The following is a 27,805-nucleotide window of genomic DNA, read 5'->3' on the forward strand; positions in this document are numbered from 1 at the left end:
CTTGAACCCAGGAGGCAAAGGTTGCAGTGAGCTGAGATCGCACCACTGCACTCCAGCCTGGGCGACAAGAGCGAAACTCCGTCTCAAAAAACAAACAAAATCTCTACATTCTATTACTTCTCTCCATTACTTAGATCATCTTTCAGAGTCCAAGCAGGAAACAGACAGCACTTTCAACTTGGGAGAATTATTATTAAATTATTTATAAAAGTCTGGGTAGGATGTAGGAAAACCACAATGGATACTGCAGTTAGTTGGGCTAGATACAATGCAAGATCCTTTGCCATTCTTAGGCCTGAGGGTGTGGGAAAGCAACATCCCCAGAAGCTGGAGAGATTGTCATACGGAGAGAGCTGCCCGACAGGAGCTGTGACCTTCCCGATTGTGGCTCATAACAACATCATGAGAGAGGGCAGAAAAAAAAGCTTCATTCTCTTTCTCCTGCCAACACGCCAATATTCTGCTGGTGCTCCAAATGGTTATCAAGCCTGTGCATATCTTTCTCTTACGGCTCAAAATACCTACTTTAGTACACATCAGAATCACTTGGAGGGTGATAACTGGATGTCAGAGGGAAAATAAGCTGGTTGGTAAAGTCCTAGAGATTAATTTCACAAGATATAGTAGAGAACAAAGGATGGATCTGCAAATAAGCAATATCCCTTACCATATGGTCCATCTCTTTTGTTCCTCAGATTCTTATCCTTTATTTAGGTAGACACATTTATGTCCTCAACACAGGAAACATACAATCATACAAAGTCCTACAAGCTACTATTTCATAAGATTGATGTCAATTTAGTCATATTCTTCTCCTGTACACATGGAACATTCTCCAAGACAGCACATATACTAGACTATAAAAGATATTTCAACAAACTTAAAAGGACTGAAACAATACAAAATAAGTTCTCCAAATTTAACAAAATTAAATTAGCAATCAATAACAAACACATATTTGGTAAGAATTCCCAAATACTTGAAAATTAAACAATATACTTTTAAGTAATCCATAGTTCAAAGAAGAAATCAAGATGAAATTTAAAAATATTTTGAACTGAATGAAAATAAAAACATGACATATACAAATTTATGAGATGCAGCTAAAGCAGTGCTTAGAGGGAAATCTATAGGTCTACATGCCTGTATTTGAGAAAAAGAGAACTCTCTAAGCCTGAATGTATAGAAAAGAACAGCAAATTAAAGCTAAAGGAAGCAGAAAATAATAATAAAGAGAACAGAACCAAAGAAAAAGAAAAGAGAGCAGAGAAAAATCAATGAACCCCAAGCTGGTTCTTTGACTTCAATAACTTCTTTGACAACTTCAATGTTGACTGATATGGTTAAAGAAAAAAAAGAGAGAGAGAGAAAATAAAGATTACCAAAATTACAAAAGTAGGGAGGAACTTGACCACCAAACCTTATGAAATTAAAAGGACTGTAAGGCACTACTATGAACAAACTAGACAACTAAGATGAACCAGATAAATTCCTAGAAAGAACAAATTATTGAAACTGAATAAAGAACATATAGAAAATCTCAACAGGCCTGTAATATGTAAAGAAATAGAAAAAATAATAATAATTTAAAATCTTCCCACAAAGAAAATCCCACACCTGGATGATTCCACTAGTTAATTCTATCAAATATTTAAATAAGAAATAATACCAATCATTTATGAACACTTCCATAAAAGTGAATCCTTCCCAATTCACTCTATAAGGCTGCTATTACAGTGATACCAGAGTAAAAGATAGGAAAAAAAAAGGAAAAGAAAAAGAAAACCACAGACCGATATCTCTCATGAATACAGATGCAAAAGTCTTCATTGAAATGTTAGCAAATCAAATCCAGGACCTCTTTCTGAAGTGCTGTCATGGTCCACTTCTTGACTTACTGGTAAATTACTTAGCTAAATATTTTTGTCTTGTGCACTTACCTCTTTATGTTATGGTTCAAGATTTTAAAAGATTTAAACATACACATATACAAGAAAGAAAAGAATGCCTAGTCTATGTTCTCAAAGTACAAGTAATTTAGTAAAAGACTAGATTAATAGAAAAACAAAAGTAATGGCAGAATATGACAAGTACCCTGAAAGGTATAGGGTTACAAGGAAATGAGAACATAGCTGATCCATGTATGCTACTGTTTTTATGTTACTTTATGTTTGAGGGTGTATGGAGGGAAACCAGAAAAACTATAAAGGAAAGAGAATTTTGATTGCCTTAATTATGGATAGGTAGAATTTTATCTGAAGAAAAAGAAAAATTTAGGTAGAGATCAGCATGAGCAAAGCTTGAACCATATTTGGGAGAAACATCAGGTCAAGTTTGGCTCCACCACTATATGTACAATTTTTTTTTGAGATGGGGTCTCACTCTGTCACCCAGGCTGGAGCACAGTGGCATGATGTTGGTTCACTGCAACCTCCGCCTCCCTGACTCAGGTGATCCTCCTACCTCAGCCTCCTAAGTAGCTGGGATTACAGGCGCCCACTACCACATTTGGCTAATTTTTGTATTTTTAGTAAAGACGGGGTTTCACCATGTTGGTCAGCCTGGTCTTGAACTCCTGGCCTCAAGTGATCCACCAGCATCGCCCTCCCAGAGTACTGGAATTATAGCATGAGCACCACGCCCGGCCAGCTTTCTTCAATTTATAAAATGAAGAGAATATACATTAAAATTAATCAATAAGGCTTCAGATCTAAAATTTTATGAAAGAGCTATTTACACCTTATCATGAACAAATATATACACCCTGGCCTCCAAAACAGTTAAAGGGAATCAACCCAGACATAACTAGCAATGCTTTCTCAAATGACTGGATATTGCTCCTATATAAAGCTAGGTTTTCTTAAATTTATTTTAAAAACCATCTCTTTAGGACTTGAAGAAGAGTCCTGAATCCCAATATTTTGTCAACAAATTTGACTTTACCTGATTAGCAGTCTTCTTGATTTTGCAAGTTTTAAGCATATTCTGCCTCTGACATACCCTTATCCCAATGTCCTACCCAACCATCGCTTTTTCAGGCTGAAGAGTTCTGCCAGGAGGCAAAGGTTGCAGTCAGCCAAGATCCTGCCACTGCACTCCAGTCTGAGTGATGGAGTGAGATTGTGCCTCAATTAAAAAAAAAAAAAAAGAGTTCTGTAATTGTTTTCATAAATCTTAAAGATCTCTCTATCCCACTGATATTTTAAATTTGTCATTTCCAGTATTTATTCAATTCTATCAGGTCTTTTTGAGGTTATGGAATTAGAGATGAATACTGTAGCAGAATAATGTTATTTTGTTAGGGGAGAAAGAAAACCCTTATCACTTTCCTGGGCTTTTTGACAGCAATGTGTCAGATAGCTATCTTCATGGAATTATTTATGAAGAAATACAGTTTATGACAGTGTTTCTCTTTAACTTTACTAGCAAAAGAACTCCTTTTTTCCCAATAAAATTATATATAATACCTCACTACATAAAACAGACCATAAAGTGCAACTGCTCTGGTTGTAGTTTGTAACTGCCTAAAGCCTCACAGATGCGGTTCAGCTCTTGCCCCTCTTTCACACCCCATCCAACAAAGACCCCCAAGAGTGCTTCCCAGGCAGCACGGAGGACAGCAAGAAAATCATCACTTTACAGCATCTGTAAATATTAAAGATGTCAACATATACAGAAGAATCAAAGCTTCAAATGAAATCAATTACTTCAAAAGGCTTCTTTACTGCAACATCAATAGAACATTTATAAAATTCATTTCTCAATTTACTCAAACACACATACAAAAATTCACAAGTTCATATTTAGAAAACTGCCTTTTTAAATCCGTCTTAGAATAAATACAGCATCAACTTAACCATATACTGGCCACTAGTGTAGCACATCAGAAAAAATAATTATTAACTCTTTCCATAATAAATGTCAATATAGTAAAAAATGTCAAGCACACATTAGTGAAATGGATCAAGATCATTTTTTATTGCACATCTGCTTACATGTCTGCTGCTTTTGGGCAGAGTTAAACCTGACATATTGAGTCAGTTTCCGTCATTTTACATCAACTAAATTATAGCAGTGAATTGCTTATGTGTCTCCCAGGCTTACCTTCCAGAAACTAGAACATTAACCTTTCCAATTTATCTAGGTACTGAAGCACAAATTTAACATTTGTTTTTGCAAAATTTAAACACTCAGAAACAAACCAAACAACATCCTATACAGAAAACAATTTTTATGTCTAGATATACAATTGAGGTTCAGAGAACTTCTGATTATACAGTATTGTAAAGGTAATGATAATCCAACCCTCTTCCAAACTATTTAATTCCTGTATATGTAATTAAGCATTTATTTTCAGAAATTTTAACACTTTCAGCAATTGATTCTCTCACAATTAGGCATTTTTAAGATCCTCCATCCCACCAAAAATAACCCACAATGACTCCAAATCTTGTTTTTCTTTTTTAAAACGCTATTCTCTTGGGACTAAACTGTTCAGAATAATCAGTATTCTTATTCCCTTTCCACTGTACTCTACTGCTCAATGCAAAATGGAGAATATGTGGTCCAAATAGAAATATGGCATTTGTGCAGGTCAAGCTTTGAAGAGACATGGACCACATGATTAGCCTGATTTTTAAAAAGCAACAAGAATGGTGACACAACTATTACACCAAACACAAAATTCTGGCCATTAATGAATCAGAAGTAATAACTGATGCTCCTACTTTAAATTCATCAATGCCATATTTAAGAAGTCAAGCAACAACACATACTTGGCAAAATCTTCTAAATTCTCAAGTTATCAAACAAAAAAGTTATTTTTAATACTTTACCCCCCTTATATCTTATGATTCAATCACTTATATTTTCCTTTGTTAGATTATTCAGAAGAAACAATTCTATTTAACCTTAATAAGTTTTTGTCTCACACATTTTATATAAAGTTACTAAAATCACAATTCTGAGAAATTTATTTTTAATCATACAAACATTATATGATTTAACTGCAGTAAAGAAATTATATCTTTTCTTAATCTATTTAGAATGATATTACAAAATCTCTAAGACTCTTTTCCACAGCTTTTCTTTATATGAACAAACTCATAATTATGTAAAATGCATCTCAACTCCACAGTGAACTAGCATCCATGCTTATTCCACATAGGTACTGCCAGTGGTCCCTGCGGTGTCCTTTCAACAATGACAAACTCTTCAGGGTTGCCAAATGCCTCATAGAAAACCAATAAATCTTGTATGGCATGCTCCTCAATCTGAAAGGAGGAAGGGAAAGAAGACTCTTTACTCTTTTAATTATAAACTAAGCAGGATGTATTTGCCTTCCAATTTCCTTTTGAGGAACTATCACTTTCCATGGATACAATACAGTGAAATTAAATCAGGTATCCTGCATTTTAAATCAGGTATCCTGCTATCTCTGTGGCAAGGAGAAAGCTTGAGGTGTGAGGTAGAATCATGAGATACCCATGCGCTCTTCAATTTGAATCTTGAGCAGAAGGAAAAAGAAACTGAAAATGGTTGCTAAAATTCATTCATTCCAATAGCTTTATTCTGTGAGATACTTTCTGTTGTTGTACAAGTCTTCTAAATCTTGCTTCTGAGCTTTCCAGTGCTACTATGCGTCTTTTCTGTTTCCAAGCCTGGCTGTCTGGTCTTTCAGCTAAGTCTATGGAATCTTAATATCCCTCAAATAAATTATCTTTTCCTTAAGTTAGCCAGAGTGGGCTTCTGTTGCTTACAATCTTAGAATTCTTACTGATACAGAAGCCAAGTGCAGCACTAGAGAATACTGCCAAATTCTCTACTGGTCATTTTAAAAAAACTAAAATAATCCAAAGTATCACCAAAGCAAAAATATAAGCTTTATCATAATTTATTAGTCATAAATTAATTGCCCTGAATATCTACAACTAATACATACACTGCTAGATGCCTCAGTTTAATTTTACCTGGCATTTACATTTTAATTTCATAGATACAAGCACCTGTCCAAAACAAACAAACACGATTTTCTTAAAACCTAAGTAGGAAATGTAGTTCTTCTCTAAATTAAACCCTACTAAGTATGTTATTTACCTGAATCAGAGCCAACGGTTTTTCTCGACTTCTAATAAGAGCTGCTTCTTGTTGTAGTTCTTCTTCTACAATAGATGCAAAAGTGACTGGGGCTACCATGGATGGAGCAGTCACTGAAGAAGATAGCCAGGGACTGAAAGAATAATAATAATGAGTTTCATTCATCTTCCTAAATTTTTGCATGCAAAATTTTCTCTGAAATACTTTTTAGCAATGCTACAATTCTTTCCAGTGACCTACAATGAACGAACCTGGAAGCTTTCACAGAGATTACAGAATGATGAGTTTCACTCATCTTCCTAAATTTTTGCATGCAAAATTTTCTCTGAAATACTCTTTAGCAATGCTACAATTTTTTCCAGTGACCTACGATGAGCGAACCTGGAAGCTTTCGCAGAGATTACAGAATGATGAGGTGAGAAACAGAAAAACAGAAGAACTAATGTTTTATTTGGACCAGTATTAGAGAGAAAATTTTGGAAAGTACCAGGAAATGGGGAGGGAGCAGAAACAACATAACTGAACAGAAAGGTAACTCAAACTACAGTACGGAGAGGATACAAGTAATACATTCTACTCAATACCATACTATTCCCAATTTCTTAACATTCTCTTATTCTCTTTTTTTTTTTTTTTTTTTGAGACAGAGTCTCACTGTGTCGCCCCGGCTGGAGTACAGTGGCATGATCGCGGCTCAATGCAATCTCTGCCTCCCAGGTTCAAACGATTCTCCTGTCCTAGCTTCATGAGTAGCTGGCATCACAGGCATGCGCCACCATGCCCAGCTAAGTTTTGTATTTTTAGTAAAGACAGGGTTTTGCCATGTTGGCTAGGCTGGTCTTGAACTCCTGACCTCAGATGATCCACCCGCCTCAGTCTCCCAGAGTGCTGGGATTATAGGCATGAGCCACTGCACTCAGCCTTAATGTTTTCAATGCTAAGCAGCAACTTAGCTTTGGAGGCCCATAACTTATCAATTAACCTTACTTGGGACTGTCTAGAAGTGGTAAATCTGAAATATGGTTGCCTTCTGGTCCTGGGGTACCATGGGTAGAGCATCTGCAAAACAAATGCCAAAATTAAAGATTAAAGCTTCTAGTAATATTAGTCAAACTGCTTATTAATAGATACAGAGGAAGAATTGTAAACTCCTGACTCCAGAGGCAAATTAAATGAGTGCAGTCAAGCTTACCTTTAAAATTATAAGTAAACAAAATAATCTATATTTATAAAACCTTCTGTATAAAATATCATAGAGAAAGATACTGCAAGAAATAGCCTATTTCTAATAATAAATATATATATACACACACCAGATAAACCAATAATCTCTAAATCAGATAATTAACAGCCGAATTTTGTAAGGAACTAATATACTTTATGAGCAAAGGATTACAGATAGGACAGAAATATAAAATATGATCTTTACCTTCTAAGAATTCACAAGCTAGTTGAGGAAACAACATACAAAATGACATATAAAATAACAGAACAGAATTTAAGACAGTATAACAAATTGAGTCACACTGGCTATAACAACTATAAAAATCACAATATTTAATCATTTGAGAGGGCCTCATGGATGGAATGAACTTGAGAAGATAATAAAAAAGAGGTATATGATGAAAGCAGTAAGAAGCATTCCAGTAAGGAGAAAAACTTAAAAAGGTACAATACAGATGGACCTAATTATGGAATTTTACAGCTAGAAAGGTCCCTAGAGATTATCTAGATTGCTCCAATGCTCTCTTTCAGCAATGAGAAAACTGAGGACTAGACAGGTTTAACAACACAAAGTCAAACAGAGAGTAAATTAACAGGACCTAAAATATTGACTTCGTGATTCATTTATACACATTTATTGAGCATGTCAGGATTACTGTAGGTGCTAAAAATCAGGCTGATTAAAACCCAATCTTCTCCCCTCAAAAAATTCTGATGGGGAAGATTTAAAAATATACTTAAGCAATGATAAAACAATGTATAAAGTACTATGGATGCACAGAAGAAAAAATACAATATGGAAGATTGTATATACTGATGGCTTCACTGAGGAAATGACATTAAAGCTGAGGAGACGTACAATTAGAAAGAATTTTGGTTGTACAAATACATGGACCTAAAAAAGATTTCAGTTATTTAAGTAAAGGCAGGCTGTTCTCTTCAATAAGCAAAGAATGCCTGAATTCAGGGTAAGGAAGAAACTTAAAGAGAAATAAAGTTTAAAAGAAACAATAGAGCCAGAGTACAAAATGCACTGAAAGCTAAAATGTTTAGCCCTAATGTGTGGGCAAACAAATTTACTAAAAGCCTAAGTACTTCATGTGTATTATCCCATTTAATCTTTGCAATACCCTGTGAAGAAAGCATATATTAACTATTATAGAGATTAAAAAACAAACTCAAAGAATATTATATAATTTGTCTGATTAACAAGTTAGATAAGTAGCAGAGAGATAACAAAAATCTGGTCTTTTTGATTTAGAGTACAGTGTTTTTTCCATGATCACACAGCTACCTTTATTTTTACTATTCCCCTTATTCTGGAATATATTCCACTTCAAATGTCTTCTCACTCTTTTACAGTTGGCTCAAATGTCACCTTCTCTCTCCTCCTACAAAACTTCAATCATTATGATAAAGCATCACACACTGTTATTATTGTTTACATGTCAATCTTAACTGCTAGACTAGTCTCTTGGGGAACAGGACTGTGTTTCATTCATCTTTGTATCTCAGTGTCCACCAGAATACTTGGAAATAGTCGTTTATGAAAAATTAATTAGAAAATTAACGACTGAAACAGAAACTCAAAGGGTATTTTTTTAGTATACGATAATGAAAAGCAGAGGTTTTTAGGTTCTTTATTGCTTTAAATTACTGATAACTTTTCTTAGAGATATAAGTACTGAATTACAAACTGATATAAGCCTTGTAGTAAGCCTGCATGATAGGTATTACTACTCTCATTTCCATATTATGAAACTGAGGTACAGAAAGACTCAGAAAGAGCTGTATAATGTTATACTGAATCTCAAATATGTTTCCTAAGACTACAATTCCATAACTTTTTCCACTCATGATGTTTCAACGGATAATTTCATTAATTACAAATTTATCCAATGTGGAGTCTGTCAAAATTTCTTCTTAAAATGAACCAAATTTGTCAAATAAAATAGAGCTATGATTAAACAAATATCAAAAACATTCTAAACTTTCAAATAATAAATATAGCATTATTGAGTTTTCAACATTAGCAACATAGAAGTAGATATCGCAAGAGACAATCTGTAGAAAATTTAGCCTTCTGAAAATAAACAGCAACATAAAAAGGTTAACTGAAATTTTCCTTAAAAGATTTTTGTTCTGGCCAGGTGCAGTGGCTCACGCCTGTAATCCCAGCACTTTGGGAGGCCGAGGCAGGCGGATCACCTGAGGTCAGGAGTTCGAGACCACCCTGACCAACATGGAGAAATCCCATCTCTACTAAAAATACAAAATTAGCCAGGCTTGGTGGCGCATACCTGTAATCCCAGCTACTAGGGTGGCGGAGGCAGGAGAATCGCTTGAACCCAGGAGGCAGAGGTTGCGGTGAGCTGAGATCAAGCCATTGCACTCCAGCCTGGGCAACAAGAACGAAACTCCATCTCAAAAAAAAAAAAAGATTTTTGTTCAAACCAAAAAACATTAATATTGTCACATTTACACTTTAAAGGAACTAAATTATTCTTTGCTCAGTTGGCCTTAAAAAAATTGTACTGGCTTAATTAGAAAGATTTTTATATCAGATTGGAGCTGATATAATCACAGAATAATTTTTTTCTCACAAGTAGTTTTTTTCACTAATTAGAAACACAAGCTCAGCTGGGCACAGTGGCTCACACCTGGAATCCCAGCACTTTGGGAGGCTGTGGGCAGATCACCTGAGGTCAGGAGTTCGAGACTAGCCTGGCCAACATGGCAAAACCCTGTCTGTATTAAAAATATAAAAATCAGCCAGGCATGGTGGCAGGCGCCTGTAGTCCCAGCTACTGGGGAGGCTGAGGCTAGAGAATCACTTGAACCTGGGAGGCAGAGGTTGCAGTGAGCGGAGATCACGCCATTGCACTCCATCCTGGGTGACAAGAGCGAGAGTCCGTCTCAAAAAAAAAAAAAAAAAAAGAAACACAAGCTTACATTTTCTTTCCAGAATTACATAAGGGGACATTTCAGTGAAAGGAAAATGAGAAATAAAAGCACATGAAATAAAAAAGAATACCTAAGTAACAATAAACAAATAAAAATTGTACAAATTGCTCACTTTTAGATGTTAACACCCTCAAACAACATTGTCATTCTTGCCCTAACCTTGGAAAAAAATCACATTTTCTAGAACTAAAACAAGAATGTATAATTTGTGGAATTTCCTGAGATGAGTCCCCCACCCCTGGCACCCTAACTCCCCAAAGGACCATAAGCATTCCTATCTTCTTAACTCCCACGATTTCCTCTGTTTATACTGCCCCATCTTCTCTTATTTCTTCTTTTAAAAATCCCATCCTGTATTCAAAAGCTTATGACAATGAAAGGAATCAAGAATTAAGTGATCTCTTTTTTTCTAATGTTTTTCACATGCTTATAAATATAATAATAAAATATTTGGAAATGAATATAAAAAGTGCTTATGAACTGACCCAGCTCAAGCCCTTCTTCTGCAATGAAGTCTTCCTGACAACACCAGCCCATGCTCAGTTTTTCTTCTCAGAACCACTCATTTGGTACTTCATCATATTGTAATCTCTTTAATACTTCCATATTGTATCGTAATTTCTTTTTGTTTTGTTGTTGTTGTTGTTGTTGTTGTTTTTGGAGACAGAGTCTCACTCTGTCGCTCAGGCTGGAGTGCGGTGACGTGATCCTGGCTCACTGCAACTTCCACCTCCTGGGTTCAAGCAATTCTCCTGCCTCAGCCTCCCTAGTAGCTAAATTACAGACATGCACCACTATGCCTGGCTAGCTTATTTATTTATTTACTTATTTATTTCTCTTTTTATTTATTTATTTATTTTTTGAGATGGAGTTTCACTCTTGTTGCCCAGGCTGGAGTGCAATGGCACAATCTCGGCTCACCACAACCTCCGCCTCCTGGGTTCAAGCAATTTTCCTTCCTTAGCCTCCCAAGTAGCTGGGATTACAGGCATGTGCCACCCCTGGCCCGGCTAATTTTATATTTTTAGTAGAGATAGGGTTTCTCCATGTTGGTCAGGCTGGTCTTGAAGTCCCGACCTCAGGTGATTTGCCTGCCTCGGCCTCCCAAAGTGCTGAGATTACAGGCATGAGCCACCACGCCCGGCCTAATTTTTGTATTTTTAGTAGAGACAAGGTTTCCCCATGTTGGCCAGGCTTGTCTCAAACTCCTGGCCTCATGTGATCCGCCCACATCAGCCCCACAAAGTGCTGGGATTACAGGCATGAGCCACAGCGCCTGGCCCTTGTATCGTAATTTCATTCTTATTCTGTCATTTAACTTCCATGTATGTATATTAATATTTATCAACTAGATTTCAGACACATTAAAGGCTGCACCTATACATTCTACTTTTATATATACCCAACACAGGCCAGTACCAGGTAGCCCATAATTTGCAAATTAATGAATATTTTAGTTTGTCTGTAATGTTTAATATTTCCTTTTTAAAAAAGCATACTTATTATGTTTTCTATGATGGAAAAAAACCCTGAAACTCAAAGCTATCTGTCTTCTTTCTCAGAATCACTAGCAGTGATAGCCAAAGCTATTTAAAACATTAACTCCCATACCAAAAATACTGAAGCTATGGATATATCATACTGTCATAAACTCCATTGAGTCAAACTTCCAAAGCAGTATAACAGGGCACACTTATAATTAAGAGCCCTGATGTTATAGCACACTCTAGTGATCAACTATGAAACCACAGATCCATATTTTAAGTTCCATGACAAATCGTTATATATCTAAAGACTTTTTTTTAAGTTTCAATGAATATTAATATTTAAAATATAAAAATACAAAACTTATCTTAATTTTCATACCTTTAAATTGATATATCTAAGACATGCAATATAACTCACTACATTAGAAACAAATGTTACTTGAAACAGGGTTACAATTTCAATTAATTTACTCATTCATTCACCAGACTCACTGAGCACCCAATACATGCCAGAAGCTAATATGAACACTGGTAGTAAAATGATGAGCAAAGACAAACATCCTCCTTGCTCTCATTGAACATATAATTAAACATACAAACATGAAAATACTTAGAGTAGACAAATATTAAAGAATCACACTAATAAATATGGAACGTACAATAAAAAAGAAGTACTATGAGAACAAACAACAGCAAACTGCCCCAGTAAGTCAGACTTCTCCAAAGAATATAACTGAATAGATATTGAAAGAAGAGTCAGAGTCGTCAGTCTGTCAAAGAGTAAGGAGGTGGAAAGAAGGAAAGTGCATTTGAGAACTAAGAGAAGGCCAAGATGACTAGAATACAGAGATCAGGTTACAAAATCAAGTTAAAGACAGTTGGCAGGAGCCAGACTATGTAGGCCTTGAAGGCCATGTTAAGAATGCTATAGCTTTTCTCTTAAAAGCAGTAAACTCCAAATTTTAAAAAAGAACATACTGGCTTAATATATTTGGAGTAAAGAAAGGCAAGACCAGTCAGGAGGGTAACTCTGGTGGCCCAGGTGAAGTATCACACCAGACTGACTCAGAGGTGATAGCACTGGAGATAAAATTTAGTATATGGATTTGAGAAATATTTAAGAGATAAAAGTGGAATGCTCTAACAGTAGACTGAATATTTGTGAAGAAAATGGAAGTGCCAAAGACACAAATTCTTCCTATTTACTGAGGAAGAAGATTCCGAAAAAACAGGCTGTTCTATGTTTTGTCTATATTTTTGTTTGATTTTGGTTTTATGAGATGGGTATGAGGAAAACATTAAGTTTAGTTTTGGACATGAAGTTTGTGGTCTTTCTGAACATCCAGATAGAATGGTAGGGTCAATAAGAGATAATTAAGTCTAAAGTTCAGATGATAGATATGGGCAAGAGATATAAATTTTGAGACTTTAGTACATGTCTGACGACTGAACATATGCTCATTAAATGGATAGTGTAGAAAGAATATAAAGTGAAATAAGACGACGACCAGTAATTGAACTTCAAGTATGATGAGTCACATAAAAAGTGGATGGTGTTGGCAATACAAAGGTCACTGTTGAACTTAGCCTGTACTGGTACTGTTTCAGTTTAGTAATGGGGCTGGGAGATAGAATCAATTACGGACTGATTGGGAGGTGACAACTCTTTTGAGAAATCTGGCTGTGAAGTGGATGGAGAATTGGTAATGATAGGACAACTGATAGAAGAAAGTGTGCCCAGACCACATGAGAGACCTGAGCACATTCAAAACCAGAGGGGAAGAATCTAGTTAAAAGGAAAATGTTGAATCTTACACAAGAAAGGAAAGGGGTAATTAATAGTTTTCAGGCTTCTGAAATGGGAAGCATTAAGATAAAAGCACAGGTATTGGCCTAAGATAGGAGAGATAACTCTTCTATGACAAAACAAGAAAGGAGGATAGTTCTATATAGGCAGGGGCTAATTTGTTCACCATAGGCAGGGGCTAATTTGTTCACCACTGCAACTCTAGTACTTAGCATAATGTTTGACACAAAGCTCATAATCAATAAATGTTTGATAGACAATTTTAAGACTATGTACCTAGTTTTATATTTATAAGCCTATCATAATTATAATTGTAATTTATAAATATGCAAAAAGGCTTAATCTGCTTCATATGTTAGTATTCCATTTAAGGTTTTTTTATTTTGTTTTGTTTTGTTTTTTGAGACGGGGTCTCCCTCTGTCACTCAGGCTGGAGTGCAGTGGCACAATCATGGCTAACTGCAGCCTTTACCTCCCAGGCTCAAGCAATCCTCCCACCCAGCCTCCTGAATAGCTGGGACTACGTGCACATGCCACCAAGCCGAGCTAATTTATTTTTCTTGCTATTTTTTGTAGAGACAGGGTTTCATCATGTTGCCAGGCTGGTCTTGAACCCCTGGACTCAAGTGATCTGCCCACCTCGGCCTCCCAAAGTGCTAGGATTACAGGCATTAAGCCACTGAACTCAGCCTAAGATTTTAATTTTAAAATAGTATTTTAATGCTAGAAGTATTAGACAAGTTAGGGAGATGACTTCAGATATTTTTTGCTCTTTGATTTTCTGTATTGCAAGAAAACGGCTCAAGAACTTTCCGCCTAAATCTAAGTATCTGTAAAAAAGAAGACAGTCACAATAGTAACAATAAAAATATGCCTAAACATTTAATCTAAATCAGGAGTTTCCAAACATTGTTGTCAGAAGACTTTGATAGTTCCTCAGGACAGGTAAAGTGACATTAAACTAGTATAGCTCCCAGTCTCTGTTCCTTGCTTCAGTCAGAAAAGTTTATATTATCTGTTTGATGCACTTGAATTGGACATAACATATCTTACTTATTTTGTTTTGTTTTGTCTGAGACCAGGTCTCACTCTGTCACCCATGCTGGAGTGCAGTGGTTTGATCACAGCTCACTGAAAATACTGCTTTTAAATTATAGATAGATTTTGATGTTTCATGTAGGCATTTAAAATATGAAACTTTTTTTTAAATACATTGGACTTTCTAAAGCAGTATCAAAAATAGCTAGGCCAGGTGTGGCGGCTCATGCCTGTAATCCTAGAACTTTGGGAGGCTGAGGTAGAAGAACTGCTTGAGGCCAGGGGTTTGAGACCAGCCTGGGCAACATAATGAGACCCCCATCTCTACTTTCATGAAAATTAAAATTAAAAAATAGCTAGAGAAAAAATTGCAAATACCTAAAGGTCCATCAACAGATGCACAGATAAACACATTGATGTGGTATACCCATACAATGAAATACTATTCAGTAGTGAAACAGAATCAATGGATACCCATAACAGCATGAATAAATCTCAAAATAATTATGCTGAGTAAAAGAAGACAGATTTTACAATGGGTACATACTGCACGACCCTGCTGATATAAAACTCTAAAATGTACAAGCTAATCTTTATTGGTAGATTAGTAGCTGCTTGGGAGGGGGAAACAGAAGGAAGAGAGGAAGGGATTACAAAGGGACATGACAAAACATCTGAAAATGATGCTTATGTTCACTATTTTGAATGTTGTGTTGGTGTCATAGGTGTATATATACGCTGAAACTACAGAATGTATACTTTAAATATACGCAATTGATTTTAAGTCAATTATATCTCCGTAACCGTTTCAATTTTTTTTAAGTGGGGAAGGAATTTAAACATGCTAATTTTAATTCTGAATGTAAAAGAGTGTACAAAAAATCTGCCTCATAAAGTTTTAAGGATTATTTCAGAACATAAAACCACCACAGAATATTTTAAGGTAGAAAATGTATTAGTTTTAAGTTTGTTTTATTACCTGACAATTTTTGGTGCCTGAGAATTTTCAATTCCTTTAAAAGAAACTTTTTTGACATGATCGCCTGAACTATGGCTAGTAACAGACTTTTTTTCTTCTAGTAAGAAATCCCGGAATGACTTGGATGAAACTGAATGCAGAGAAGATGCCCTGCAAAAGAAAGCAAAGATCATGTTAAAACATCCATTTTGTAAAAGGGCATTGCTGGAAGTTATAAGAGAACAATAAGAACGTATACCAAAAATTTTACAATATACAATTGCAGTTTTCAATGTGATGTTGGATTCTTGCTGCCAATTGTGAAATATCCAAAACTATTCCATAAGAAAAACCAATCAATGAAGACCAAGTCTAGAGATAACTCAGATGTTAAAATTAGCAATATTAAAATAGCTATTACAATTATGCATCAGATAACAACAACAAAAGCTCATTAAAAATAGGTAAGTTCGGCAAAAGAAAAGAAACTATTAAAAAAAGAGCAAAATGAAAATTCAAGAATTTTTAATATATTTTTAAAAATTCACTGTATAGATGGAAGAGTCGGTAAACTTGAAGATAAACCAAAAGAAATTTTTGAATCTGAAAAACAAAAAAGAGAAGTTGAAGAAAATTATTCCATAGTGAGTTATAAGATAAAATCAAAAGGTCTGCCATATGTGTTAACTGAAGTCCCAGAAATAAAGAAGAGAGATACGGCAGAGAAAAAGAAACAATGGCCAAAATTTTCCCAAATTTGGTGGAAGATATAAATTTAAAGACTCCAGAATTTTGGCAAACCCCAAAAAAGATAAAACAAAGAAAACCATATTTAGGCACATAATAAATAAACAGCTGAAAACCAAAGCTAAACAGAAAATCTTGACAGCAGCCATAGAAACACAACACAGAATGAAAATGAGTAGCTTGTTATTTGAAACAATGAAGCCCAAAAGACGATGGAAAGGAATCTTTAATATGATGAAAGAGGTAGAGAATGTCAATCCAGAATTCTATATCTGAGTAATCTTGAAAGTAGGTCCTCTTCAAGTCATGCCTTGAAATGACTATAGCCCTGGCCAAACCTTGACTGCAGCACTGTGGAAGATCCTGAGTCAGAGGCATTCAGCTGAGATTCCTGACCCAAAGGAATTATGATAATAAATGTTGGTTGTTTTAAGCTGTTGTTCAAGTATAATCTGTTATGAAGCAATAAATAACTAATACAAGATATTACAGAAATTAAAAGGGTAATAAAGAAATCTTATAGAGCCAGGTACAGTGGCTCATGCCTGTAATCCCAACACTTTGGAAGGCCAAGGCAGGTGGATCGCTTGAGCCCAGGAGTTTGAGACCAGCCTGGCCAACATGATGAAACTCCGTCTCTACTAAAAATACAAAAATTAGCTGGGCATGGTGGCACACACCTGTAATCCCAGCTACTCAGGAGGCTGAGGCATGAGAATTGCTTGAACCTGTGAGTCAGAGGTTGCAGTGAGCCGAGACAGGGCCGCTGCATTCCAGGCTGGGTGACAGAGCAGGACTCTGACTCAAAAAATGAAAAACAAAACAGAGAAAAAAAAAAGATAGAAATGTTATAAACAACTTAACACAAATAAATTTGACAATTTACATGGAATAGACAAATATCTTTTTTAAAAAACTAAATTACTGAAAATAACAGAAAGTCTATATAGACTATATCTATTTTAAAAATTGAATTAATCTCACTAGGTTTTTTAACTGCAAAAATTGACAAACTGATTCTAAAATTTACATGAGAATAAAATATCCCAGATTAGCCAAAGCATTCTTTTAAAAAAAATAGAAAGTTGGAAGAAGACAAAACCAATTATGGTAATCAGGATAGTATAAGCTAGGTCTGAATGTATTTCCTCCAAAACTCATGTTGAAATGTAAATGTCACTGTGATTGTATTGTGAGATGAGACCTTTAAGAGGTGTTTAAGTTATGAGGGTGCCTCACAAACTGACTAATGCCATTATCACTGAGAATGGTTAACCCTTTTTGCTGTCTCTCACCCTGCTGGCATATGCCTTCCACTATGCTATGAAGCAGGAACAAGGCTCCTGCCAGATGCCAGCACCTTGATATTGGACATCCCAGCCTCTAGAACTGTGAGCCAATAAATATCTGTTCATTATAAATTACCCAGTCTGTGGGACTCTGTTACAGCAGCACAAAATGAACTAAGATTGTGTGATACTGGCATAAGGATTGACAAACAGATTTCTTCAATTATGTTTTACTGTTCTTTCCACTGACTATGCCATAATTGGAAACAGTACCTGATTTCCCACAATTTTATTTTCCTAACTCACAAGCTCCAGCTATTTTCTACCTTAACAGCCACAGAAAATTTATGGAGAAGAATTTTAGACATTTGTACCTGCATAAAAATTAACCAGAATTTTGCTCCTCAGCAAAAGAAGCCCTGTAATTTTACTCTAAATAATATTTTAGCTTTAAAATATTAAATAATTGAAATTGTTTTATATTGTATGGGTTAGCTCTAAATGGAATTTGAAAGAATTTACATTCAAACATCAAGCCAGGCCACAAAGAAAAAGTATTCTTCCACTGAAGATGACTGATGAGAAAGGTTCTATTATTTCTCCAAGTGAAACATTTAATTTTGAGAAGTAGCCAAATCCCATACATACTTAGTGTTTTCACATTAAATTTAAAATTTGCCTGGTTGGAACTTCAATCTAATGCAAAAACCCAGTTATCCCTAATACTTTCCATTGCCACACCTAACTGTCAGCAGCAGGAGTACAACTATAAACACTGGGAATTCTACAGACTAGGTGAATGAATGTGTGAACAAACTAGTGAAAATCCTACCACAACCTCAAGTATATTTAGAGTGCTAATTTGTGTTTTGCTAATGAATTGCACATTAACCTTAATATTAATGTAAACATATTTTTAAAAATCTTTTGAAGAAGTAAAATCTTATTAGATGATACTTCAGGTAATGATGTACCTTTAAGAAGGATTTTAAAAACCAGTTACATCGGCTGGGCGTGGTGGCTCACACCTGTAATCCCAGCACTTTGGGAGGCCAAGGTGGATGGATCATGACGAGGTCAGGAGTTCGAAACCAGCCTGGCCAACATGATGAAACCCCATCTCTACTAAAAATACAAAAATTAGCCAGGCATAGTGGTGTGCATCTGTAATCCCAGATACTCGGGAGGCTGAGGCAGGAGAAGTGCTTGAACCCAGGAGGCAGAGGCTGCAATGAGCCAAGATTGCGCCACGGCACTGCAGCCTGGGCGACAGAGCAAAACTCTGTCTCAGAAAAAAAAAAAAAAAAAAAAAACAGATAAATCATCACAGTCATGAATACATTCTATAAATAACAATCTGTAAATCTGATTAAAATGTTAACTTCAGCCAGGAACAGTGGCTCATGCCTGTAATCCCAACACTTTCGGAGGTGGAGACAAGAGGACTGCTGAGCCTAGGAGTTCAAGACCAGCTGGGGATATACAGACCCATCTCTACAACAAATAAAAAATTAGCTGAGCATGCTGATGCACACCTGTGATCCCAGCTACTCAGGAGGCTGAGGTGGAAGGATTGCTTCAGTCCAGGAGGTCAAGGATGCAGTGAGCCAAGATTGCACCACTGCACTCTGTCTCAAAAACAAAAAAAAAGTTCCAATTTTTTCTTTAAAACCAATGCATACGAGATATGTTCTCAGGAAAACAATCTATTCCATTTTTACTTCAAGCATATATTACAAGTATTTACATTCTATGTGTATCTGATTAAAAATCAAGTGATATACTGAATTATGTGGCTATCTCATAATTTTATAATCACATGAAAAATTATATCATATTATATTCACTCAATAATTAATGTTTTATCCAGAGTTCAGGTTAAAATACTTTGCAGCCTTCTAAGAATTCAAGAAAGAAAATTATTCAACAATTTAATAACAGTAATTTCAATTTATACTGAAGTGCTTTGCTTTGCTGTGCTTCATAGTTACTGTGTTTTTAAACAGGTTGAAGGTTTGTGGCAACCTTGCATGGAGCAAGTATATCGTGCCATTTTTCTAACAATACATGCTCACTTTGTGTCTCTGTGTCATATTTTGGTATTTCTCCTGGTATTTCAAACTTTTTCATTATTATTATATCTGTTACGGTGATCTTGATCTTTGATGTTACTATTATAATTGTTTTGGAGCACCATGAACCACATCCATACAAGTTGGCAAGCTTAATTGATAAATGTTTGTTTTCTGACTGTTACACCAATTGGCAGTTCTCCCATCTCTCTCCCTCTCCTCCTTAGGCCTCCCTATTTCCTAAGAAACAACAATATTGAAATTAGACCAACTAATAACCCTACAGTGGCCTCTAAGTGTTCAAGTGAAAGAAAAAGTCACATGTCTCTCACTTTAAATCAAAAGCTAGAAATAATTAAGCTTAGTGACGAAAGCACCACCCTGATCAGTCAGCAGTCATCAACATCAAGGCAAGATACTCCACCATAAAAAGATGATTCACTGAAGGTTCAGATGACCATTAGCATTTTTTAGCAATAAAATAGTTTTACATTAAGGTTTTTTTTTGTAGATATTATGCTATTGCACACTTAGCAAACTACGTATAGTATAAACATTACTTTTACAGGCACCAGGAAACCAAAAATTTCTTGTGACTTGCTTTATTGCGATGTTTGCTTTACTAAGGTAGTCTGGAACCGAACCTGCAGTATCTCCAAAGTATGCCTGTATAGTCTTAAAAAGAGCATAAATTACTAATTGTAGACAATTCAGATACCTCTCACCTTGATGATAATAATTCAGAATATCTATAATTCTCAAAAATTCAGATTACCCATAACATCTATAATTATCTAAATTATCTATAATTGGTCAGTTAGATAAATTTTCTTAGTGTACTAAGATACATAAAACTCATTACTCATGTTTGTACTTAAGTTTTCCAATCATGTTTTCATAAAATAAATGTATAACAAATATCACTTGTATTTGATAATTATCAAATTCTTTTTTTTTTTTTTTTTTTTGAGAAGGATTTTTGCTCTGTTGCCCAGGCTGGAGTGTGGTGGCATGATCTCAACTCACTGCAACCTCTGCCTCCCAGGTTCAAGTGATTCTCCTGCCTCAGCCTCCCAAGTAGCTGGGATTACAGGCATGCAACACCATGCTCAGCTAATTTTTGTATTTTTAGTAGAGACGGGGTTTTTCCATGTTGGCCAGGCTGGTCTCAAACTCCTGACCTCAGGTGATCTGCCTGCCTTGGCCTCCCAAAGTGCTTGAATTACAGGCATGAGCCATCATGCCCAGCCAGATAATTATCAAATTCTTTTCAAAGAAAAATAACCTATGTTTTTGGTCAAAATTTATGGCATCTTTCTTCCCATCTTTCTAGAATTCTCCTTAATATGCCATAATAGACTCTTAAAATTTGGATAGATAGTCCCTTCAATGTGGCACTCTAAGCTCATGTTGCTATTACCAAGGAAAAATTTTTCCTATGTTTGAAAATTAGTCAGAAGTTTCAGATAAATGACCACTTGAATACCTTCCTCTGAAATCCTAAAGTGTACAGCAAAGTAATCAGAAAGGTATAAACCCACAAGGGCAAAAATAATAAGCTATTAAGACAATGGCAGTCTAAAAACAGCAACACATTTTTGAAGGATAGCAAAAGAGATGGAATGATAAAAACTGATGTCGCCGAGTGGACAAAAAGAAATACTAGCAGTCATCAGGTGGGTGACAGTAAAGAGGGAAGCTGAGAACTCTGGAAAGGGGCATATACTGGAGACAGAGTATGTATCAAATCCTGAAGTCGACATGAGCATGAAAATTGTTTCAGTTTATTTAAGGAGGGGCTGAAAGTGCCAGATGTACTCCCTATCTCCATATGGTCATATTACTACATCTCCTTTACTCTGGCAGAAGGAAAATTTGATTCAAAGTCACTAGTAATAGAGGATGGCGGGAGTGAACTGTTGTGTACAAAGTCTATACACTAAATGTGAAAACCTATTACAAATGGTGACAAGTTCAGTCCCAGCTCTAACCTCCCTACACTGAGATACGCTTCCAGAATGCTAGCAACAAAATGTACACCTTAACAGCAAAAAAAAATTAAAAGGCTGCTCTTTAGAAAAACTGACAGACTAAAGAGACCAAGGAGAAAAGATATGGAGATAACCAACATATGGGGAGATTCAGGGGTCCCTAAGGAATCTGATACGTTACCCTATAGTCACACCTATCAGTCTATTTGTACAACATAGGCACACAGAGCTTCCAGTCAGAACTTAAGAGAAAACAATCAATCAATAAATTGACAAAATGAAATAAAATAAAACACATATAGAGTAGAATGAATAAAACATGGATGTAAATCAATGGCTATTTTTAGCTTTCTTTTTTTTGGTTGATTGGTTTATTTTGTTCAATATCATATTGGTAAGATTCATCCACACTGTTGTATTTAGTCATGATTTATTCTTTTTCATTACTCTGTAGTATTCTACTATAAAAATAAATTAATTTATCCACTGACTGCTGATAGACATCTAGATTGTTTTCAGTTTGGGCTATTACAGATAATAAATTATGAACATTCTTATACTTGTTGCGTGGTACATACGTGTGTGTTTCTGTTGGGTATATACTAAAGAGTGAAAATGCCTACAGAGTACAGAGATCTTCAACATTAGAATATTAAAACAATACTATAGAAAAAGGTATCATCAACAAACAAACCAAAAAAAGCTCTTGATAAAGATTTTAATGATTGGAAAAAGTCAGGCAAATGTTCCAGAAAGTAGAATTAAAAGGCATATATGTGGACAATAGAAAAGAAAAAGTGTAGTGGCTCACACCTGTAATTCCAGTACTTTGGGAGGCTGAGGCAGGCAGATCACTTGAGGTCAGGAGTTCGAGACCAGCCTTGCCAACATGGTGAAACCATGTTTCTACTAAAAATACAAAAATTAGCCGGGTGTGGTGGTAGGCATCTGTAATCCTAGCTATTCAGGAGGCTGAGACAGAAGAATCGCTTGAACCTAGGAGGCGGAGGTTGCAGTGAACCAAGATCGCACCACTGCACTCAAACCTGAACAACAGGGTGAGACTCCATCTCAAAAAAAAAGAAGAAAAAGTAAGAAATTTAGAGAAGCCTAGGGGGACCAATATCTGACTAATGTGATTTGTAGAGAAAACAGTGAGGAGGAAAAGTATCAAAGTAATATTAATATTACATAAGATTTCCCTAGAACTTAAAGACATGCTGTTGCCAATTAAAAGAGCCCAAGTACCCAGGATGTATCAAAAAAGACCTACATTATGATACATTACTGTAAAATTTCAGAACATTAGAGATAAAGAAAAGATCCTGTAAACTTTCAGGGAAAAAAAAAGTGGAGAAGAAAACAGGAGGTAACATAAGAAGATTTAGGAATTAAATGGCATTGAATAAATTCTCCAAATGATTTCCAATTTAGAATCCCGTTCCCATCTATCAGTCAAGAAGAATGAAGGCTAGAATAAAAACATTTTCATGAATATACGAGCTCCAAAAATATATGTCTTATACATCCTTTATCAGAAACCTACTGGAGTTGTGCTACATCAAAACAAGGAGTGTATCAAGAAATAGAAAACCACAGGATCAAGAAAACTGGGGATCAAACACTGGAGAGAAGGGAAGACCTGCAAGACAACAGTTAAAGAAAATCTCAAGATGACAGATATTCAGCATGCCTGGAAAAGACCCGGTTCAGATCACAAAAGAGCACAGGACTCTAAGGAATATGCCTCCAAAAAAATAAGTGAAACAACTTTCACTCGTTCACTTTTTGCTTAAGGAAAATGATTGATGGCATGCTTACAGCTATATTACCAAGTCCAAAGCTTCATCATGAGCTTAGTTAATTCTCTCAAACTGCAATTTAGTACTTGACAGTGGTTCCAATAACTTTTCCCCCTTTTTGGATTTTCCATACCTTTGTTTAAAGAAAGCACAACTCAGTATTGCAGCAGTCATATCATAAACCCTACAAGGGTAACAGTCAAATCTGTCTTGTTCATTGCCTTATCATCAGAAACTAGCACAGTCCCTTACATTTAGAAGGTGCTTAACAAATACTGATAAATTTTAAAATTCTGCTAAGCTCATCCTCTCCAGTTTTACCCTCTTTTCTCTTTTCCTTGGGTGTTCTTACCTCTTATTTTACTTTCTTTTTCAGTAACCATGCTTTGGACCTACTAATAGCCCTAACAAGCACTGATTTAGTTCCATTGGTAACATTTAGAATAAAATTATTTGCCACTTTCTTCAAAATAATTAACATTTTAATTGAGAAAAATATTCCTTCTTACAAACAGAATAATGTGGCCTTAGAAACATTGAAAGGATTCCCCTAAACCATGGGTAGCTGCCAAGATCCTCCCCAGTCCTTGTGAGAGAAAGAGAGTTCTACTGATTTCTTCGTAAGGCTTCACATTCTCCATGTAGTTCTCCAGTATTGGTTTCCAGATATTTTAAGTTACAAGAAAAGGAAGGATGGAACGGAAGCTGGAGTACAACCTATTTTACATATCTCAAAATTATATCTGACCTCTTTGGAGGTTATTCCAATGCTGCCACTATGTGTAAATTCCAATGGAGAAAATGTAAACACAACATTAAGTAAGGAGCAGTGTTTTAAAAAGTGAAAAATAACAAGCTATGATTATAACCATGTAAAGATATTTATGGAGCATGCAGAAGGACAAAGAAATTAGCGTAGTATAAATAAAGTTTTCTTTTTATATGTGTCTGATGTATTTAATTTCTTATAAAAAATAAAAATAAATTTTAAATCACTTTAGCAAGAAAATCTAATTAGAATATCAAGAAGAAATTATATCTATATATGAAAAATATATCCACATTTTGATGTGTATGATGATGTGTGTCATCATGACTTGTATGTCAAAACACCCCAAATTAAAAGAAAATAAACAACAACAAAAAAAGTGTTTGTTTCCCAAGTTCCAATTTTTAACTTGAAAACAGAAGGGGAGATAAAATACTTGAAAAGACTTTAGAAACACTGGAAGTGGGAAGGAACTCCAAAGTCAAGTACTACCTTAAAAGCAAATGCACAAATCTATATTAATTTTAATAAAAATAAGAGCATACCATGCATTCACTGGTTTGGGGGCTTTTGAAGGAGTGAATAAAACTGTTTCCATGCTATTCATTCCTGAATTGTTTTCCTTGGTAGTCAATGCAATCATTTTTCGTTGCTTCTGAGAAAGTTTAACTCCATGAGAAACTGTTTTGCTAGAAATTAAACCAATTAGTTTCAGTGGTTTCTTCTGACAAAGTTTAATTCCATGAGAAATCATTTTGCTAGAAATTATATCAATTAACATTAATTTCTGCTTAATAAAGGTTACTGGTAATAATAATGTTTTCTATTTATTTCATGTTATTTTACCATTATTGGATCAAAATGCTCACAAGTTTCAACAATGAAAATATCAGTTTATACTAACAATGATCAAGTAATAGCTACATATGAGCCCTCCAACATATCACAAATTTCAAAAAGAACTTGCATCACAAGCCTTAACTCTTTGGCTTTTGTAGCCAATAGTCCACAATGATCATTTTAGAGTCAAGTTTCTGGGATGTAATACTGTATTCTACAAGAGCTGGATTATCAACTCAACTCTATCTTTAGCACATATTTAAGAAATAATATTATGGAGGCTAAATTGCCCAGAAAAGGATGTATAATTAACTATAACATCAAATGCAGAAAAATAATAAGAAAGATGCAGTAAGTCTGTCCAATTCTTAGGGCAGAAATACAACATGAAATGATCTTTTGTAATGTTTTCAACCCACCCTAAATGTGACTTTGGTGTAGCTCCACATTTTTGTCTACTTTCTTCTATTTCCATGATAGTTCTGAGATCCACAACAGGAGGGCTGACAGGACTAAAAGACATAAAAGGTTACTTTGCAAAGCATTCATTTACCTATAAAGCCCAACCCCCAACTTCACTGAAATGATAAGTGATATGTGAGATTAATAATCAGAGTATAATTTAGATTTATCAGCTGTGAGCCAGTTTCATAAAGGATATTTTGAATAAAAGCTACTTTTATATACACATATATAAATATTAACTAATATATATCCAAAATGTTAAGTGATATAGCACATATACAAATAACAACTAATATGTATCCAAAGTCATAATGTTGTGATATAACTGAAATTCCTATATTTAAAAAAACATTTTTTAAAAAAAGTGAAGCAATAGAAAGATTCTTAACTAAATTAGGCAGAAAAACTCACCAAAGTTCTAATTAAATTCTTACCTTTAGGTTAAATGAAGCTTGAAAATTACATTCTTTCCTTTCTATTTTTAACAAACAAAACTCATTCTACTGTTTAATATTAACAAAAACAAACATTTAATAGAAAAACTTGGGGATACTAAATAATATTGGAGACCCACCAGAGGAAGTTATACCATAATGACAAAATTCTACAATCATTAGAAATAGATGATTTCTGGCCAGGTGTGGTGGCTCAAGCCTGTAATCCCAGTACTTTGGGAGGCCGAGGCGGGTGGATCACCTGAGGTCAGGAGTTCGAGACCAGCCTGGCCTATGTGGTGGAATCCCGTCACTACTAAAAATATAAACATTAGTCAGGGGTGGTGGCAGGCGCCTGTAATCCCAGCTACTAGGGAGGCTGAGGCAGGAGAACCGCTTGAACCTGGGAGGCAGAGGTTGCAGTGAGCTGAGATCATACCACTGCACTACAGCCTGGGCAATGAGGGCGAAACTCTGTCTCAAAAAAAAAAAAAAAAGAAATAGATGATTTTCGACCTAAATGAAATCTACACTACAGATAAAAATAAGTCAGTCAGGCACAGTGGCTCACACCTGAAATCCCAGCACTTTGGGAGGCCGAGGTGGGCGGATCACAAGATCAGGAATTCAAGACCAGTCTGGCCAACATGGTGAACCCTCATCTCTACTAAAAATACAAAAATTGGCTGAGCATGGTGGCACGCGCCTGTAGTCCCAGCTACTCGGGAGGTTGAGGCAGGAGAATCGTTTGAACCCAGGAGGCAGAGGTTGCGGTGAGCCGAGATCGTGCCACCGCACTCCAGCCTGGGCAACAGAGCAAGACTGTCTCAAAAAAAAAAAAAAAAGTCATATTACTTCATATTAAAGGGAACCTGTTTCCTGTACTTTTTTTCTTTCATCAAAAACAAATTCTACTTATTATTTACACTAGGCAATACTACAAAATGAATGTAGAAATGTTTGTGTATATGTCAATATTGAGAATGTTTATTGCCTATTGCTATGCATTTTGTCAATGAGCATAGTACTGAAATAGCCTAATCTATCTTGTAGACCAGGGTATTTTTAAAACATGTTTAACAAAATATCCTAACATTAGCAATCAGAAGATGTTTCCAGATGTTCCCACATATTAAATATTTACCAATTTGTGTACTTATGCAAAAAAAAAAATTGAAACTAATTTCTGAACTAAAGTTTAAACCATGAAGCACATAAAATGGAACATCATAATCTTTGTTCCAACTCTGCAAAATATAGCCTATTTCAAAAGAATTAAACAGTCCAGATGATAATATGTCAATTAACAGTTTTAGACTTTATCAACCATTGTAGGCATATAAACATGAAGCACAAGCTTAATTAACATTTTGAAAGAATACTACATTCTAATTACATCTGCTACTCATTTAACTTTTCTTTTTCTTTTTTTTGAGATGGAGTCTTGCTCTGTTGCCCAGGCTGGAGTGCAGTGGCGCGATCTGGGCTCACTGTAACCTCCGCCTCCCGGGTTCAAACGATTCTCCCACCTCAGCCTCCCAAGTAGCTCGGATTACAAGTGCGTACCACCACGCCTGGCTAATTTTTTGTATTTTAGTAGAGATGGGGTTTCACCATGTTGCCCAGGCTAGTGTCGAACTCCTGAGCTCAGGTAATCCACCCACCTCAGCCTCCCAAAGTGCTAGGATTACAGGCATGAGCCACCATGCCCAGCCTTCATTTGACTTTTCTAAATAAATGAAAAAATATATATATAATATAGGCAAGTTAAAAGGATAGTATAACATTAAATTAATATCCTCTGAAAATTAACTGAATAGTT

At 35.5% G+C, this 27,805-nt stretch overlaps 1 protein-coding gene across 2 annotated transcripts in view; it reads right to left on the reverse strand.

The window, feature by feature from the left end:
* The window catches only part of IBTK (inhibitor of Bruton tyrosine kinase), a 77,758-nt gene continuing 53,656 nt past the window's right edge, over window positions 3,704–27,805 (reverse strand). For both annotated transcript variants that reach the window (NM_001300906.2, NM_015525.4), the window contains exons 24-29: window positions 25,504–25,596; window positions 24,790–24,933; window positions 15,596–15,745; window positions 7,084–7,155; window positions 6,097–6,229; window positions 3,704–5,273 (exon numbers count right to left, since the gene is read on the reverse strand). In NM_001300906.2, the coding sequence (NP_001287835.1) occupies window positions 5,142–5,273; window positions 6,097–6,229; window positions 7,084–7,155; window positions 15,596–15,745; window positions 24,790–24,933; window positions 25,504–25,596 (724 nt within the window). In that variant the 3' untranslated portion in view covers window positions 3,704–5,141. The remainder of the gene's footprint in view (window positions 5,274–6,096; window positions 6,230–7,083; window positions 7,156–15,595; window positions 15,746–24,789; window positions 24,934–25,503; window positions 25,597–27,805) is intronic.

This window comes from Homo sapiens, chromosome 6 (assembly GCF_000001405.40).
Source record: "Homo sapiens chromosome 6, GRCh38.p14 Primary Assembly".
Lineage (NCBI taxonomy): Eukaryota > Metazoa > Chordata > Mammalia > Primates > Hominidae > Homo > Homo sapiens.